Raw genomic sequence first — 20,108 nt, forward strand, 5'->3', positions numbered from 1 at the left:
TGAATAACAGGACAGAATCCATACAAAGTGCTACTAGTAATGCTGGAGGTCCTCCCAAGAAGCAGAGAAAAGTCATGACATTACGAGAAAAAGTTGAATTACTTGATAATATATGGTAGATTGAGGTCTGCAGATGTAGTTTCCTGTCATTTCAAGATAAATGAATCCCATGTAAGGACCATTGTAAAAAAAAATAAAATGAAATTTATGAAGCATTTGCTGCAGCTACACCAGCAGGTGTGAAAATCTTGCACTTTTTTGTGAAACACCTTTCATTTCATATTGAAGATGCAGCTTTTATGTGGGTACAGGATTACTATAAGAAAGGCATTCCCATAGACTCGAATATGACTGTCTATGGGAAAAGTGAAGTTGTTATATGACAACTTAAAGCAAAAGGAAGGTGGAAGGATATAAAGCTGGAGAATGTATTGCCAACCAAGGATGGTTTGATAATTTTAGAAAGAGATTTGGCTTTAAAATGTGAAGACAAAATGTGAAGGGGAAGCTGTTTCTGCCAACTAAGAGGCAGCATTAAGACACCATTAAGAAAATCATTGAAGAGAAAGGATATCTGCTGAACAGGTTTTTAATGCAGACGCAAGTGCCTTATTCTGAGGGGGAAAAAAAAGCCACAAGGAACATTTCTTAGTAGGGAAAAGAAGCAAGCATGAGGAGTTAAGACAGGGAGGAATAGGCTAACTCTGTCTGTTGTTCTGTGCAAATGCAATCAGGTTTATGATCTGCACTTATCTGTGAAGCTGCTCATCTCCTAGCCTTGAAGGAAAATGATAAGCACCGGCTGCCAGTCTTCTGGTTGTACAACAAGAAGGCTTGGACAATGAGAACCCTTTTTCTGGATTGACTCCATTGATGCTTTGTCCCTAAAGTCTGGAAGTACTTTGCCAGTAAGGGGCTGTCTTCTAAAGTTCTTTTGATATGGACAGAGCCCCAGCCACCCAGAACACATGTGTTTAACATCGAAGGTGTCGAAGTGGCCTGCTTCTCCCCAAACCCAACAAGTCTAATTCAGTCTCTAGCTCAGAGTACTGTAAGGTCCTTTCAGGCTCATTATACACAGAGCTGTATGGAAACGATCGTTGACACTGTGGAAGAGAAAAAGTCTGGAAAGATTACACCACTGAAGATGCATTGTTGTCATATAAAAAGCTGTGAAAGCCATCAAGCCCAAAATTTGTGCTGGAGAAAACTTTGTCTGGATGTTGTGCATGACTTCACAGGATTTATGAAAGAGGCAACCAAGGAAATCATGAAAGAGATTGTGGATTTGACATAAAAGGTGGAGTGGGGGTTGAAGGGTTTTAAGGTACGGATCTTAGAGGAATCCAAGAGCGGATAGACACCACACCCGAGGAATTAACAGAGGATGACTTGATGTAGATAAATGCTTCTGAATTGGTGCCAGAGGATGAAGAAGAAGACATAGAAGAAGCAGTGCCAGAAAACAGGATCACATCAGACAATGCGGCAGAAGGATTCTGATTATTCAAGACTGCTATTGACTTATTTTACGACATGGACCCTTCTGTGATACTGGCAGTAAAACTAAAACAGTGGAAGAAGGATTGAAATCATATAGAAACATTTTTAGAGAAATGAAAAAGCAAAAAAGGCAGACAAAAATTACAAAGTATATTCATAAAGTTATACAGAGTGTGCCGCCTCTCCTGCCTCCCCTTCCACCTCCTCCACCTCTCCTGCCTCTGCAACCCCTGAGACAGCAAGACCAGCCCCTCCTCTTCCTCCTTCTCCTCAGTCTACTCAACCTGAAGAGGAGGAGGAAGACTGTTATGATGATCCACTTCCACTTGATGAATAGTAAATGTATTTTCTCTTATGATTTGCTTCATAACATTTTCTTTAGCTTTATTGCAAGACTGCAGTATTTAATATATATAATATATAAAACTTGTAATTGACTATGTTTTCAGCAAGGGTTTCAGTCAACAGTATGTTATTAGTATTTACTTTTTTGTAGCATCAAAAGTTATATATGGATTTCTGTCTGTGCAGGAGGCACCCCTAATCCTCATGTTATTCAGTCATCACCTGTGCTTTGAAATTGTCATTGTGTACTAGGCTCAATTTTTTTCTACTAGATTACATGCATCTTTAAAAAAATGACTTATTGAGGTATACTTGACATAATAAATTTCTGATATTTAAAGTATTCAATTTCATGAGTTTTGACATACGTATACACCTGTGAAACCATTACCACAGCCATGGTGTTGAACACTTCTTTCACCTCTGGAAGTTTCCTTATGGTCTTTGACATTTACCCTCCCTCTACCCCTTTCCCAGTGTAACCACATGATCTGCTTTCTGTCACTGTAGGCTCGTTTGCATGTCCTAAAATTTTATATTAATGGAATTATACATTATTATGCATTATTTTTGGTCTTGCTTTTTTAACTCAGCATAATTATTTTTAGGTTTATCCTTGTTATTTAATGTGTTATTGACTCTGTGTGTGTATGTGGAATAGAATTCCATTGTATGGACAAGCCCAGTTTTGTTAATTCATTTGCCTCTTAATGGAGATTTAAATTGTTTCCAGGTTTTGATTATAGTAAATAAAGCTGCTATTAACCTTTGTATGTAAGTCTTTGTATAGACATATGTTTTTATTTAACTTGACTTAATACGTAGGAGTGAGTTGTCTGAATCAGTGAATATATGTTTAACTTTTCCAGAAACTGCCAAACTGTTCCAAAGTGTGTGTATCATTTTATATTGCCACCACAGTGTGACAATTCTTGTTCCATATCCTGACTAGCACTTGCTATTATCTGTCTTTTCACTTTGGCCATGTAAATCGGTATATTGACGGCATCTCATTGTGTTTCTTTAACAATAATGATGTTGAACAATTTTTCCTATGCTTAGTGGACATTTTGACTGTGTTTTTTTACTTGGTGTGTTTTTTGTCTTATAATTGTGTTGTAAGTGTTCTTTATATGTTGGTAGATACAACTCCCTTGTTCAATATATGTATTGTGGGCCAGACACGGTGGCTTATGCCTATAATCCTAGTACTTTGGGAGGCCAAGGTGGGTGGATCACTTGAGCCCAGGAGTTCGAGACCAGCCTGGGCAACAGCAAAAACGTGTCTCTACAAAAAATATAAAAATTAGCTGGGTGGCCGGGTGCAGTGGCTCACGCCTGTAATCCTAGCACTTCGGGAGGCCGAGGCGGGCAGATCACGAGGTCAGGAGATCGAGACCAACCTGGCCAACATGATGAAACCCCGTCTCTAGTAAAAATACAAAAATTAGCTGGGTGTGGTGGCGTGTTCCTGTAATCCCAGCTACTTAGGAGACTGAGGCAGGAGAATCGCTTGAACCTAGGAGACAGAGGTTGCAGTGAGCCGAGGTTGCACCACTGCACTCTGACCTGGGCGATAGAGTGAGACCCTGTCTCAAAAAATATATAATAATAATAATAATAATAATAATAATAATAATGATGATAATAATAATATATTTTATGTGAATATCTTCTCTCAGGCTGTAGTTTGTTATTTTATTTTCTTAGTTGCCTCTTTTGAGGAGCAGACTTAAATTTTGATGAAGTACAGTTTGTCAATATTTTTATAGTTCATGGTTTCTATGTACTAAGAATCCGTTGCCTACCTTAAGGTAACAGATTTTTTCCTCCATATTTTCTACTGTAGTTATGAAAATAGGTTTGTGATTCATTTGGAGTTAATTTTTTGTCTATGTTGTTAGGTGTTAGCGTTGAGGTTAATTTTTTTTTTTTTTTTTTTTTTGAGATGTTGTCTAGCTCCGTCGCTGAGGTGGGAGTGCAGTGGTGTGATCTTGGCTCACTGCAACCTCCACCTCCCAGGTTCAAGCGATTCTCCTGCCTCAGCCTCCCAAGTAGCGGGGATTACAGGTGCCTGCCACCACGCCCAGCTAATTTTTGTATTTTTAGTAGAGATGGGGTTTCACTGTGTTGGCCAGGCTGGTCTCGAACTCCTTACCTCATGATCTGCCTGCCTCGGCCTCCCAAAGTGCTGGAATTACAAGTGTGAGCCACCGCGCCTGGACTTTTTTTTTTTTTTTTTTGGTCCAAATGGTTAGCTGTTTGTTCTAGTACCATTTATTGAAACGACATTTATTAGGTTGGTGTAAACATAATTGCGGTTTTTGCATTGCTGAAATTTGCTGTTTGATATTGGAATACATTCTTAAATAAATATGGTTATGTTATACATCATTTTAATGTACATTTCTCGCTTTGTTTTTTTGCTAATGACTTACTACTGGCTGTTTAATTTATATTTAGAGTATGGAAATGATGTTAGACAAAAAGCAAATCTGAGCAATTTTCTTATTTGAGTTTAAAATGGGATGTAAAGCAGCAGAGACAACTTGCAACATCAGCAGCGCGTTTGGCCCAGGAACTGCTAATGAACGTACCGTGCAGTGATGGTTCAAGAAGTTTTGCAAAGGAGATGAGAACCTTGAGGATGAGGAGCTTAGTGGCCGGCCTTCAGAAGTTGATAACAACCAATTGAGAGCAGTCATCGAAGCTGATCCTTTTAAAGCTACATGAGAAGTTGCTGAAGAACTCAGCGTCAACCATTCTACAGTCGTTTGGCATTTGAAGCAAATTGGAAGGATGAAAAAGCTCCATGAGTGGGTGCCTCATGAGCTGACTGAAAATAAAAAATATTATCATTTTGAAGTGTTGTCTTTTCCTGTTCTACAAGACAATGAACCATTTCTTGGATTGTGATGTGTGATGAAAAGTGGATTTTATATGACAACCAGCGATGATCAGCTCAATGGCTGGACCAAGAAGAAGCTCCAAAGCACTTCCCAAAGCCAAACTTGCACCAAAAAAAGGTCATGGTCACTGTTTAGTGGTCTGTTGCTGGTCTGATCCACTACAGGTTTCTGAATCCTGGTGAAACCATTACATCTGAGAAGTATGCTCAGCAAATCGATGGGATACACCAAAAACTGCAATGCTTGCAGCTGGCGTTGGTCAACGAGAAATGTCCAATTTTTCTCCATAACAACACCCAACTGCACGTCACATAACCAATGCTTAAAATTTGAATGAGTTGGGCTATGAAGTTTTGCCTCATCCGGCATATTCACCTGACCTCTCGCCAACCAACCACCACTTCAAGCATCTCAACAACTTTTTGCGGGGAAAACACTTCCACAACCAGCAGGATGCAAAAAATGCTCTCCAAGAGTTCGTCAAATCCCGAAGCATGGATTTTTATGCTACAGGAATAAACAAACTTATTTCTCATTGAGAAAAAGGAGCTGATGTAATGGTCCCTATTTTGATTAATAAAGATGTGTTTGAGCCTAGTTTTAATGATTTAAAATTCACGGCCCAAAACCACAATTACTTTTGCACCACCCTAATACAGCCCGTTGACTTGACTTGGCAATACCAAGCTTCTTAAATTTATATTTAGTGTTTTATTGATACCACAAGTTCAGATATTTTTTGTTGTTAATAGAATTCAAGGAAATAAGTAATCTTGAATGGTTTCTGCTAGGTCATAGAACAGTGATGATAAATTTCTCCAGATTATCAGAATTCAATTTTTCACTGATTCATTGTTCTTCAATTTGATATCATTTTACTTTTAGGTGTTACACATAATATTGCATTACTTCGAGAGGTGATAATCAACTCACGCTTTGTAAAAGGAGACATCAGCACTAAATTTCTCTCCGATGTGTATCCTGATGGCTTCAAAGGTTTGTATGCATTAAAATATTTTAGTGTTTTAAAGTTGTTATTTTTATACTTTATTGTAATACATAATTTCACTCTATTTTGAAATTAAGGCCTTTTGGCTTATATTATACTTCATTTTTAGAACATGCAAGACTGTTTACATTCATGATTTTGAGTATTTATGGATGACTCATGAGTGTGATAATCTGCAGTCTTGTGGAGTGCAGAATTCAACCATGTGAATTGTTCTATGAGTCCAGTGTTTTGGAGCAAAACATGTAGATAGATCATTAGCCTACCTGACTTCCTGGTTTCTGAAAATCAAATCAGATTTGTATTTTCTACTGAGGTGAGTATATAAGGAACTCTTCTAAAGTGATTTTTAAGAGATATATTAATGAAAATAGCACTGAAAATTTCAGAAAACCAGATTCTGGTCCTATTAATGAAAATCTAGGAAGATGATGATTTTATTCTGAAAAATGAAGTTTTCAATAAAGTAATGAGTGGAATGTGAAATTTAACACAGCAAAGTTATCAGCAAGCATTTCCAGGTAGTAGAAAAATTGCTCATCAAATGGGAGATAGAGAAAACCCTTTAGTGAGCATTCAAAACATAGTTAACATAAGATATTGAGAGATAAACAAGATTTAGACTGAGACTTAATAGAAATGTTACTCAGGTGAAAGCCTCTACCTACATTTTTAATGAGCTAGTGAGGTATGAAGGTTAGATAGTCTGTCCCATATTTCAAGTGTTCTTTGTATCCATTAAAGTGTTTTAATGTAAAATGACTCACATTCATATTAGGAGCTATATATAGATTCAGGTCAAGTTGATGTCGTTGAGTTGTTGGGTGCATTTATAAAGCAGTTTTCAGTTCAGAATTTACAATACAGAGTTTTCATAAGACTCAACAGAGATAACTGATTTGAATATTGTTTTAAAACTTTAGTGTTATAGAGTTTTATCATTAGTATTAAGGCAAATGAAGAATGGCTCTAAGTTGGGATCTTAAAACAAAAACTAATGATTTATTAGGTTGTTTTTCATAAACTTTTGAATTTTTAAAAATACAAAATAAAATACAACTAGGATAGTAGTTTTATACTTTTGTGACTATTCTTTTAATATTTGTTGGTTTAATGAGGCTAAGAACCCCTTACGTCATTGCTTTTCATTTTATCCCTAGCACAAAACATAGTAGGTACTAAGTATTTGTTGAATTAATGAAAAAAAAAAAATCTTAGCCATAATATTGATGAGAAAGGATTACTTTGGATTTTTTTTTTTTTTTTTTTTTTTGAGACAGAGTTTTGCTCTTTTGCCCAGGCTGGAGTGTAGTGGCACAGTCTTGGCTTACTGCAACTCTGCCTTCCGGTTTCAAGCGATTCTCCTGCCGCAGCGTCCCAAGTAGTTGGGATTACAGGCATGTGCCACTACCCCCAGCTAATTTTTATATTTTTAGTAGAAACGGGGTTTCACCATGTTGGCCAGGCTTGAACTCGAACTCTTGACCTCGTGATCTGCCCGCCTCGGCCTCCCAAAGCGCTGGGATTACAGGCGTGAGCTACCGTACCTGGCCGCTACTTTGGATATTTTTAATCATTTATACATGTATCCAGATAACCAGTTCATTCTATTTTGATCCTAACATTTAGTTTCTTGTCCTTCCTAAAATTTTAATTAAAAGTTGTAGTACGTTTTGAAGTGGACTTAGGACTTCCATGTTTTTATGTCTGCCTGGCAATTCAGTGATGGTGATAAGATAGGAAACAGTGGGCAGAAGGAGAAAACAGGGAAAAACTACAGAGAACCTTTAGAACAAACATTATATGCATGTATGGGTATTTATATATATATACACACACACAAATACACATTTATATATAAGTTTGTCTATATGTATGTATGGTGAAGTATCCCAGAGAAGAAGAAAATGGGGCATTTAAATTTTCTAATCAGAGTTGATTAGTATGTGCTGGACGTTTAGCAACAATAGAGAATATCCCAAATTCTGTAGAGAAGGGATCCCCTTCAAACTCAGAAATGTACTTAAACCTAGATATTGCAGTTTTCTGTGATGCATATAATATATTACATTTCTTTTTTTGTAAGGAATTAACAGCTTGGACACCACAATTTTGTTTTTTATGCTTAGACCAATTTTTAAAATTGGCATACATTGCTTTTAGCAATTATTTAGTTGCAGCCTTCATTTTACATGTGAGGAAACTAGAGCTCAGAGATATCAGTAAAGCTAAATGACCAGTAAGATAATAATGCCAGGAATTGAACCTAGGCTTATTCAACTCCTATTTGAGTAGTCTTTGAGTTATGCTGGGGTTCAAATTCATAAATCACAAATGTTTTCAATCAGGGTATGCTACATGTTGTTATATTGCCTCTAAATACTTTAGAAACACACTCCTATATTTGCCATTCTTAATGTCTCCCTCTTGTTTTATTTTCTTATTTTCATATCAGTTCATTCTTCTTTGAGTGGTTACTGTCTGTCATTCTTCTTCAGATTGCTGTATTTTCCCCCTAAATCAGGTCTTAGATATTTTAAACTGTATCGTCTTTTGACTGTTTGATATATGTGCCCAAGAGACTGAAGGAAGTGGTAACTACAGTTAATCCAGGATCCTCTCCATATGTTTGGGGCCAGGTCATTTTGCCCCTTTGGGGTTTCCCATCTGCTTCCCATCTGTTCAGCTATCCTAGGCACTATTCACAGGCAAGCACCTATTTTTATGACTGCATTAAAATTTTCTATTGTATATGTTTATTATCCCACATTTATTTGTATGTAGACTAAGCCAGTTTTACTAGAGATTCTTAGAGTTAAACTTTGAAATGATTGCTTCTAAAATTAAAAAATAGGATACATGAGAAATTATTCTTGTCATCTCTTTAGATGTGGATGTTGAAAAGCGGTTTCCCTTGATTCTGAAAAATAAATGGAACATGAGGAAGAAGATATTTTAAGAACTATAATTTCATTTGGCCTATAATGAACATTTTGGGCTTATTTCTCTGATACCTTCCTATACTTCAACCCCAAGCCCCATCGAAAGAAATTGTCAGAATTATCTCATTCTTTTAAGAAGTTACAGATCTTCTGGTAAAAATTTCACTCAACACAAAAAGTATATAATTAATTATACTTCTCTTTTTTCCACTGAATTTAGTCAAGTATATCTACACTTTAAAAAATACTACTATGATATTTGGACTGAATTCAATCATTAAAGTCATTCAACAAATAATTGATATAGGCTCTAGAAGAAAATCAAAGATGGGTATATTTTACCTGCTCTTAGTGAGCTGACATCATGAGAGAAATAATAATGTAAAGTACCCACTATACTACAGGACAGGATAAAGTAAGTGCCTGGTAAAGATGTAAGCAAAGTATCTTGACAGAAGAGAAACAAAACAAAACAACAACAACAACAAAACACCGGAAACCCAGTTCCATTTGAGGGAATAAAGAAAGGCTTTAAGGATGAGGTAGCATTTAGACTATTGGAATACCTCTCCGGGGACTCTCTCCATGGGAGCTGGGCTGCACTTGTGAGAGCCATGTGTGCACATCTTTATAAGCCATCCTCTTTGAAGTTGGTAGTTTGTAATCAGCCATGAAGAAAGTATTTACTGTAAAGAAATTGGTTGTACCCTGCGGCTTTTCTCCTTCCCCCACACCCCAGTTGTTTGTTAAGCATTTACCAGCAAACCACTGCCTAACTCTTTGGCCTGCATATTGAGCAGAGTCCCTGATGTAAAAAGGAAAAGAATTACTCATCTAGGGAGGAAGACCTAGAAGACTCACTAAGGACAGGTGGTGCTCAGTTTTAGAGCTGCTGTTGTAGGAGGCAGATGACTGTGCTTACTGAAAAATGGGAAGAACACTTAAAAATACTGAATTAGAGGAGAAAGACTTAATGAACTAAAAAACTGTGATTTTTCTAAATAAAACAATTCAGCAGTCAATGTGGAAGGTAGGATGGTCACTACTAAGATCCAAATTAGTGACTCAAAGGAATAAATGGAAGTATCTCAAAATATGCAGCAAAAAGGTAAAGAGAATGAAATCATGTGGAAAATGATGAGAGATATGGAGGGAAGATCCAAAAGATTTTACACATAAGTGCATACTAGGAGTTTCATGAAAAGAAAAATGGAAATGAAGGATAACTTTGAAAGAAATAATAGAGATTTTTTTCTCACTGTTCTTAAGAAAGCCTTAGGTATTCTTGGAAAGACTCACTGAGATTCAGACTGGATTAATTTAAAAAGTAACTCCACTAGGCATATAAAAAACAAATACTTTTTTAAATCTTCTAAAAGAAAAGAAAGAAGATGCAAGGAATGTACAGTGAGATTATGTTCATACTCTATAAACTGGAAGTTAGAAATCTTAGAATAGTGTCTGCTACATAGGAAAGAATTTGACTCAAGAGTACTATACCCAGCTAAGATATCGTCATCAATATAAACAAATTTGTTTTCAGTTAAATAAGGATTCAGAACTATTTTACCATATATACTCCTTTTGAGGAAATTGCTAAAGAAAGTACTTTAACCAGTTTTTAGGTAAGATGATAGCTTAAAAATATACATATTTTTCCCCCTACCCCCAAATCCACTAACTTGAGTTTTTTAAAGACACAAGCCCACTAGGAAGAAGAAAGGAAATAGCATTTGGTAAAATGAACAGCTGAAAGATGATTCTTAACTGACTTAGTAACCTAAGAAAGTTGAATCCTAAGCTGACAATGAGAGAAACTGAGAAGTAGCTCATTACCACTGCAGAACCCTTCAGAAGTCTCAATAATTATTAGCTCCAGATACCCTGGGAAATTCCTAAAGGTAGCACTACTGACCTAAAATATCTGTAAAATTTTCTCCATATCACTTCCCTCACTCTTCAGAGTAAGGCGACTCTCTTTCCCTCATCCTGGTGTAAGCTTTCAGATTCTTCTCTGCAGAGGATAAAAACCAGGGGACACCAGGCACAGTTGGACAAAGGATCGAGGGAACATGGACATAATAAATGTGGTGACACTCTCTGCCCCAGCTTTGTTCCTCAGTTGGTTCCCAGGGGACTGGCAGGCAGACTGGTACTCACAGACATGAAAGTAGACGATCCTTGAAAAATCTAACCCCCTGGTGAGATGACCTAAAGATTCCCCAACAAAACAGTCCAGCCAGATTACCCTACAGACAAAGCTGCCAGTGGTCAACAAAGCCATAGCCCACGAAGAGAGAACGGGCCTGGATTAGAATCAGGACCTCTATCTGCATTATTTAATACAACACTGTGGCCGGGCACGGTGGCTCATGCCTGTAATCCCAGCACTCTGGGAGGCCGAGTGGGGCGGATCGCCTGAAGTCAGGAGTTTGAGACCAGCCTGACTAATGTGGAGAAACCCCGTCTCTACTAAAAATACAAAATTAGCCGGGCATGGTGGCATGTGCATGTAATCCCAGCTATTCAGGAGGCTGAGGCAGGAGAATCACTTGAACCCAGGAGGTAAAGGTTGTGGTGAGCCGAGATGGTGCCACTGCCCTCCAGCCTGGGCAGCAAGAGCAAAACTCTGTCTCAAGAAACAAAAACAAACAAACACACACCCAAAAAACAGAAAACACTACATGTAATGGGAACCAGCGCGTAGCTGTTAAAAATAAATGGTAGACCTAAAACCACTCGGGAAATACACAGGTCAGGCTTCTTGAAAACTGCATCATGCCAATGAGGGTGGCCAGTAGCATGAGGGTCATAGTGGCATGTCACAAAGCTTGTAGGTGCTGTTACATGGTTTTGAACTCCAGTAATTAGTGGCTTAATGAACAAGGAGAGGAGATAATAAACATTGTTTAGGGGTTGGGACTTTTGCATGAAATTATCCCCCCAAAAGTTTAAGAAGGTAAGAGTTAGTTGTGAGGAGGAAGGTTTTTCTTCTTTCAGTCACAAATACTTATAGAGCCTGTTGGGTAAAAGATTGTGCTCTAGGCTCTGGGAATACAGAGGTAAAACTGTCAAAAAGCCTAAGGCTTTTAGAACCAAGAGTTGCAGCTTTTTCCAGCCATGTCTTCACTGAAGAGCCCACTGTGCCCAGCCTCGTTGACTTCGCAGTAGAGGCTCTAAGCTTGAATGTTGTGAACGTTCCAAGGCTGGGTTTAAGAAAGCCTTAGAACTCCATCTAGACCTGTAACAAGTACAAGTGACTTGCTCCTCTGAAGAGTGCTTGAGGCTGCATGTGTCCTGCATGTGAGGCTGGAGCTCTCAGTCCTTCTGCCTCCTCACCACCTGTATTCCACATGCACCCAGCAGCACCTCTCAGTCTTCTCTGTCGGGGTTGGGGGAGAGGGTAAACCAAGTGTCAGATTACAGCACTCTTGGTTTACGTTCACACTCGCTAAAAGGGGTAGGAAGAATTGGAGAGCTTTTAAAATACTTACCGCGCCCCCAAGTTTTAGGTGTGTAGGATTCATCAGTAAACAGAAAAAGGAGCTGCCCTCATGGGACTTACATTCCAGCAGGTTAGCAGGCAGCATGCATTCCCAGCTCCCCTCATGGCAGCCAGGCAGGGTTTACACATTAGAAGCTGCTCAGAAAAGGGAATGAGGTACATTCACCTTAGCTTACTAGCCCAGAATGCAGTGTCAGTGTGTCTGACTCAACACCAAGCTGGTCTACCACCCCCAGAGGGCAAACAGTGGAGACCGTTCAAAGGGAGCTCAAGGTCAGAGCCAGGGAAGACATGCCTTACTTAGTATCAGGCCGCAGGGGAACTTGCAGAAGTCAAGTCCACTCTGGCCTGTGATCAGGAGTAGCATTATGCTAAAATCGTTGTAAGAATAGGTCAGTTATGATCAGACTTCTTATACAGAGCCTGTTGGAACTGAGTACCCCCCTTTTGAAGTGGAATATCAGTAAAATGCTTGAAGTTGATGTGCATCATATCAGTTTGCCTGGGAGATGTGATGAATGATGGTCCATTTTATTTGGGAGACCTCTCTCAATATTGCCTGAGTCCATGCACTAATAGTTGGTTAGACCAGATGAAATACTGATTGAGCATCTTGCAGTGAATGGGTTCCCCTAATGCATTGCCTCCTCCCTTGCTGATGGTATATACGGTGCATATGTGTCTAAAGAACTGACTTGTAAAGGACTTTGATTGTGAACCACCATGAGAAATACATTTTACATCCTGACATAGTATGCACATATAAACACACACAACATTTTCATGTAAAATACTGTGTTTAAAGTGCTATGATAATTTGTCTTCCTGCACATGACACATTAAACTGGCTTCATGAACTACTAAACAGTTTCTTTACACAGTTTGATAAATATCAGTCCAGAACAGTTGTATTCAAAGTGAGATCTGCTGACTGGCAGCATCGGCATCACCCTGGAGCTTGTTAGAAATGCAGATTATTACCCCTTGCCCTCATACCTTCTACCAGTCAGTCTGCTGGTGAAGTGCACACAGCATCTTTAATCCAGGTGATTCTGATGTTTGGTGAAGTTTGAGAAGCACTGGTTCTTTTTACACTCCAGAGAGCTTTTGTGATTATATATATTGATATTTACCACATTATAAATTAAAACTGAGGAACTTGAAAATATTTATTCATTCATTCTGAAAGTAATGGTAATAAATCCATTACGTGTTGACATGCATGAGAGCAGTGATGTCATCACACAATATGTGTCCCTTGGATCTGGGAACCTCTGCAGTATACTCTTGAGAAAATGAGAGTTAAAAAAGCAAATATATTTTAGTAGTACTATGAAAATCATTTGACCTTGCAAGGACTCCTGGGGACTCCCAGTTGTTGGCAGGTCATGCTATGAGAACTGTTCTTCTCAACTGTATGTTTTGACAAGACTGAGAGCAAATTTTTGTAATACTTCTTATATAGAGTAATTATGTAATCATATGGGATGTTTTCATCACTGCTTAGGTGTCAGGGGAAAATGAGGAACTTTCCAATGCCCATAAGAGTATGGTTTATTAGGCTGTTGTGAGGATCTAGTATGGAATTCCCAGAACCAGTTGGTAGATCCCATATTTGTATTATGTTTTATGTAATGTCTAGGTTTGTCTCAAAAGAGGGTGGATTACCTGTGCTCTCCCTGCCCTTCAGGGAGCAGATAGATTACTTCCCTGTGGAAAATTGTGCTGTAGATATTGGAAGTATTTGTATCTTAATTTTGAATATTTTTAGTCTTATTTGTATTTTGAGTGATTTTTTAGACATAATGTTTAAATTACTTCATTTCTTCCAAATAAGTTTAGGCAACTAGTTTTTTTCTTTTTTTGAATTGTACATTTGTTTCTTGGTATCTGTGGGTGATTGGTTCTAGGACCCTTTCAGGTACAAAAATCCACAGAAGCTCAATTCCCCAGTGTCGTATTTACATATAACTTAGACATATCCTCCCTGCACTTTAAATCATCTCTAGGTTACTTATAATGCGTAGTACAATGTAAATGCTGTGTAAATCATTGTTATACTGCATTGCTTTGAGGAAAATGACAAGAAAAAAAAGCCTGTACATGTTCAGTACAGACAACAATACATTTTTTTTCTCAAATATTTTCAACCTGCAGTTGTTTGAATCCATGGAGGGTCGACTGTAAAAGTAGCACCTTATGGCTGACGAGCCAGCATTCAAGTTGCTCATACTGTCCCATTTAATACTCTACTATCTATATGTAGTACTCTGGTAAATAAATAGTTTTAGATTTGTGGTGAAGTTACAGAGCTGTCAAAGGATGTGTTAACCTATAGACCCTGGAGTATTTGAATCCTACCTTGACTCACAACCTTCTTGAAGAATTACGCAAATTCTTCAATCAGTCACTCACCCCAGGCCTTTGCGGCCAGCCGACTATCCCAGGTCCAGCTGTGTAATGGTAGGAAGATACTGTGAGTGAGAGGAGGAGAGAGATTGGTTGGTTGATTGGGATTCATGCAGAGAAGCAGAAGAATCACGGCGTGATATTCTTTGGATCTTCGCACCAGAAAGCATGGCCTCATCTGTGTCCTTGACCAGCCGCTCTCCTTTTCTCCAGGGACAGGGGCTTCTTGCACGCTATCCTCACTTCCCTCAGCAGGGAAGCTGGGCTGGGAAAGGACAGAGAGAAGCAGATGTGAGGAGCTTATGCTTTTCCTGGAGATCTCTGTGTGGATGGTTTTTTCTTTTTAATTGTCTTTGTTCTGTGCATCTGTTGAATATCTTCTTTCCCAAATTAAACTTCTTTCCCAATATAAACTTCCCGTGAGCAGGATTTTGTTGTCTTATTTGAATGGTCTTGCTTCCTCAATGTCCGCACACCCCAGTGCCTAGTACAATCCTAGCTGCATAATAGATGCCCTATAAAATACTTGTTTGAATGACTAGTAATTCTATAGGAGAGAAGCACAGATGTTAAAATAAATGATTGATTGATTGATTGGTTGATTGATTTCCCTCAGGACACATGCTAACCAAGAGTGAGAAGAACCAGTTATTGGCAATAGCATCATCATTGTTTGTGGCATTCCAGTTAAGAGCACAACATTTTCAAGAAAATTCAAGGTATGGTAGATCATTTAAAACAGAATAAATGAGCAGAACAATATTGATAATCCAGTCTACATAGGAAATACTAATAAAAGATGTGGCTGATCTCAGTTCTAGAGATCTTATGGGTCTTTGGAGAAGTATAATAAAGTCACACTGTATAAATATGATATTGCTTACATTTTGTTTAAACAAGTTTTTTTAAGTTCAGAAAGGATAAAAGGATCTTGGCCCTTTTAATTTGGACATAAGAAGATAGTCTGAAATCCGATGGGAAATCCATTCGAGTAGTTTGTGTTTATGATTTCTGTTTTATTTACTTATCTTGAAAAACGTTTGGAGAAGTATATTTAAATGTAGGAATGAATCTGGGCAGTTAAAAAAATATATATCAGAAACTAGTGAACACACAAGAAGGAATTAACACCAGGTTGAGTTAGTCATTTGTGAGACACAAGTGTGCCTTTTAGCTTCCTAGTGACCCAGGTAAAAGGAGAACATGCTTTATATCAGGGTAAGTAGAAACAAAACCTCAATGCCATTGGTGCTTCTAGAGAGAGGATTGTTTATTATGAATGTGTGTTTACTTGCTGGAGCAATCCCTTTAAAGGAATCATGCTGTTGATAAATTGTTACTTCAGTTTCTTTTCCTTTTTACTTTTTCACAAGAGGAAGAACAAAGTTTAAAAAAAAGAAAAAAAAAGATGGAAGGTGATGAACTAGCTTTGAAAAGCACAAATCAGAAACTGAAATTACTTCTGAAGAATTAGGTAGAGGAGAAACTAAATTGGATTTAGGCTGTATCTTAGTGGCTAATGTGGTTTTATTCAGGAAATCTCAGTGTAGTTGGTACTCTTCACTTGTTCTCTTTACCTAGAAAGAATAGGAAGCTTACAGTGTATCTTTTTAAAAGTTATGATTTGGTAGCTACCAGGGAGAGATGAGAAGATATAGAATATCAGTAAATGACTGAATGACTGGACGGAGGAGGAAAATGGTCAATAGAACCGTGAATCTGCTTGTGCATCTGTTTAATATCTTCTTTCCCAAATTAAACTTCTTTCCCAATATAAACTTCCTGTGAGCAGGATTTTGTTGTCTTATTTGAATGGTCTTTGCTCCCCCGATGTCTGTACACCTCAGTGCTTGTTGTTTGGTTGTTTCCCCCCCACATAGTTGTGCGGTCTAGTATGGGAGGCACTAGCCATGTATGGCAATTAAGATTAAAGTGAATGGAAGAATCCTTTTCAAAGTTACCGGAAACGTGGCTACATTTCAACTGTTCCATAGCCACGCGTGGTTAGCAGCTCCTGCACTGGGCAACTCTAAGAGGCTTTCCACCACAGCAGGTGTGTTTCCATCAAGTTCTGTTGGACAGCATTTGTCTGGAGGGATATGTGTGTAGGAGAGAATGTTGCTTTTGTTTTAAAACCTGAATTTCATATTTTTTATTCTTTTGATAAATGCAGTATTCAGATCCTAATTCCTTTACCTTCAGATGTTATTTGGACCTTGATTATTTCAGAAGTTCTGAGTGTAGCTAAATATGACTGGTTTGATTTTTAAGAAATGTATGCAAGTTATTTTCAGAGAGTGCTGCCTTACTGTGTGGAAGAATCTGAAAAGGGCTTAAAAAGATGGAGAATAAAAATTACCTGTAATCCCATAATTATTCAATAATTACTTTTAATGTTTTGGTAGAACCCTTCAAAGTATATATATATATATATATATATATGTATTTATGTGTGTGTATATATATGTATTTTTATATACATACATGTAGCATTTATACTTTGCATAATTAGAGTCATAAACCTGGGAATATGGTTTGAATTACTTGTGCAAGATAAACAGCAGTATATTGAACACCCATGCACACATTATCTAGCTTCAATGACTGTAAAAAATCTATCTTCCTTGTTTCATTTTTACCTCTACCCACTCCACACTTTCCCCATTTGTTAATTTTTTAAGGTAAAATATACAAACACACATATACACTTCTTACCTGTACAGTTTTTGTTTTTGTTTTTTGAGACAGAGTCTTGCTCTGTCGCCCAGGCTGGAGTGCAGTGGTGCGATCTCGGCTCACTGCAGCCTTCATCTCCCGGGTTCAAGCGATTCTCCTGCCTCAGCCTCCTGAGTAGTTGGGACTACAGGCATACACTACCACATCTGGCTAATTTTTTTTTGTATTTTCAGTAGAGATGGGGTTTCACCATGTTGGCCAGGCTGGTCTTGAACTCCTGACCTCAGGTGATCCACCCACCTGGGCCTCCCAAAGTGCTGGGATTATAGGCATGAGCCACCGCGCCCAGCCTTACCTGTACAGTTTTAACAAAGGGATGCTTGTGTGTAACTCAGACGACTCTATCTTTACATCGTCTCTTCCAGTGCACTCCCTGCCTCCTTTTGCTTGTGGTGCTACCTGCGGTGTGATTTCTTCAGATTGCTTTTTTGGTAAACTTTTTTTTTTTCTTTTCTTTTTAGAGAGATGAAGTCTTGCTTTTGTCGCCCAGGCTGAAGTGTAGTGGCACAGTCATAACTCCCTGCAGCCTTGAATTCCTGGGCTACAGCGACCCTCCTGCCTCAGTGTCCCTGGTAGCCAGGATTACAGGAACATACCACCACGCCTGGCTAATTTCTGTATTGTTTGTAAAGATGGGGTTTCACCATGTTGTCCAGGCTAGTCTCGAACTCCTGGGCTCAAGTGATCCAGTCCACCAGCCTTGGCCTCCCAAAGTGCTGGAATTATAGACCTGAGCTGGGCGAAACCTTGTGTCTGCTAAGTACAAAAATTAGCGGGGGCGTGGTGGCGGGTGCCTGTAATCCCAGCTACTAGGGAGGCTGAGGCAGGAGAATTGCTTCAACCCAGGAGGCGGAGGTTGCAGTGAGCCAAGAATGCGCCACTGCACTCCAGCCTGGGTGAAAGAGTGTGACTCCGTCTCAAACAAACAAACAAATAAGCTAAACAATCTAATAAAAAACGGGCAGTAGGTTTGACTTAGACTTTTTATCAGAGAAGATAAATGAATGGCACATAAGTTCATGATAAGATGCTCAGCATCATCGGTCAGTGGAGAAACAAAATCACAAATCTATACCACTACACACCCACTAGAATAATATGCATCAAGTAATGAGTGGGTAAATAAAAAGTGGCATATCCATACTATGAGCTTATTCAGCAGTAACAAAGAATAAACAGCTACATTCACTAATGTGTGTAAATCTCAGAAATAACATGTGAAGAGACAGAAACCAGATAAAGAAGACTATGTAATGTATGACTTCATTTATTTGAAATTTCTAGGGAAGGCAAAAAGTATAAAGAACAAAAGAAAGATCAGTGGTTGTCTGGGTCTGGGTATGGGAGCAAGATTGACTGCACATGAGTTTTATTGTTCTAAAACTGGATTGGGGTGATGGGTGTACAACTGTATGAATGTATTACAATCTCACTTGATCTTAGCCAAAAGGCCGAGAAGTGATATAAATGTATTACAATCTCATCAGACTATACAATTAAGATGTATAGATGTTATTGGCCAGGTGCAGTGGCTCATGCCTGTAGTCCCACACTTTGGGAGGCCAAGGCGGACTGATCACATGAGGCCAGGAGTTCGCGACCAACCTGGCCAACATGGCGAAACCCTGTCTGTACTAAAAATACAAAAATTAGCCAGGCTTGGTGGCGCATGCCTGTAGTCCCATCTACTCAGGAGGCTGAGGCACGAGAATTGCTTGAGCCTGGGAGGCATAGGTTGCAGTGAGCCGAGATCACGCCACTGCACTCCAGCCCGGGTAACAGAGCGAGACCCTGTCTCAAAGTAATAAAAAGTAAAATGTATAGATGTTATACAAGTAAATTATATCTTAATGCAACTTAAAAAACTGTAAATGTGGTACCAACAAAGGGCTTGAAAGAGGTGGGAAGTATTATGAGAAGTGTTAAGATGATGGAAGATACATGTAAAAATAAATTGTATTCGAAACTTGAGTAGAAGCAGATATTAAGGAGTCAGGTTACTGACTTGGAAGACCTGGTGGATGGTGGTAATAACAAAAGTGCAAGAGCAGCTTTGAAAAGAAAATATGAGAAGTTCCATTTAGGCAGTTGAGTTTGAGATCCTTGACAGGCATAATTGTAGCTCCTAAAGACTTAGCAATATGATATATTCCTATCCCTTTGACTGTTTCTTCTTTAATAATAATATATATGCCCCTTTGAGCCCATTAGGAAATACTTGGGGCATGCTTTTGTACTCATTAGTTCCATGATTTTTTTGTAATAATCAAATGCACACAGTTTTAGACTTCAACGGTGTTCCTTAATGTGTGCTCCATAGAGCGCTAGTTTGGGGGAGTATTAAAATGCATTACTTAAGAAAATGTTTCTGTGTTTAAATAAACGTGGAAAATCCCTTGTTAAGTTAGAAACCTCTTAGAGACTGTCATACAGGCACACCTCATTTCATTGTCCTTTGCTTTATTGCACTTCTCAGATATTGCATTTTTTACGGATTGAAGGTTTATGGCAACCCTGCATTGAGCAAGTCTTTTTGTGCTGTTTTTCCAACAGCATGTGTTCACTGTCTCTGTGTCACATTTTGGTAATTCTCATTACATTTCAGACTTCATCATTATTATCATATCTGTTTTGGTGATCTGGGATTAGTGACCTTTGATGTTCCCATTGTAATTGTTTTGGGGTGCCACAAACCATGCACGTGTAAGGTGGTGAACTTAATTGACAAATGTGTGTGTTCTGATTCACTG

General features: G+C 38.5%; 1 protein-coding gene and 1 long non-coding RNA gene across 39 annotated transcripts in view; one reads left to right on the plus strand and one right to left on the minus strand.

The window, feature by feature from the left end:
* Window positions 1-20,108, plus strand: part of PCCA (propionyl-CoA carboxylase subunit alpha) — a 441,343-nt gene that overhangs the window by 235,826 nt on the left and 185,409 nt on the right. For 34 of the 36 annotated variants that reach the window (NR_148030.2, NR_148027.2, NR_148028.2 and 31 more), the window contains 2 exons: window positions 5,643-5,753; window positions 15,239-15,341. Coding sequence is in view for 30 of the 36 variants with exons in the window: in XM_017020609.2 (XP_016876098.1) it covers window positions 5,643-5,753; window positions 15,239-15,341 (214 nt within the window). In the remaining 6 variants the exon portion in view is untranslated. Of the gene's footprint in view, window positions 1-5,642; window positions 5,754-15,238; window positions 15,342-16,502; window positions 19,251-20,108 lie in introns of those variants that run through there. The other 2 variants (XM_017020616.2, XM_047430377.1) reach the window with 2 other exon arrangements.
* Window positions 4,608-20,108, minus strand: part of LOC105370335 (uncharacterized) — a 35,417-nt gene continuing 19,916 nt past the window's right edge. For all 3 annotated transcript variants that reach the window (XR_007063852.1, XR_007063851.1, XR_007063853.1), the window contains 3 exons: window positions 14,783-14,887; window positions 14,629-14,687; window positions 4,608-4,684 (listed from right to left, as the gene is read on the minus strand). This is a non-coding gene — a long non-coding RNA (uncharacterized LOC105370335). The remainder of the gene's footprint in view (window positions 4,685-14,628; window positions 14,688-14,782; window positions 14,888-20,108) is intronic.

Source organism: Homo sapiens, chromosome 13 (genome assembly GCF_000001405.40).
Source record: "Homo sapiens chromosome 13, GRCh38.p14 Primary Assembly".
Lineage (NCBI taxonomy): Eukaryota > Metazoa > Chordata > Mammalia > Primates > Hominidae > Homo > Homo sapiens.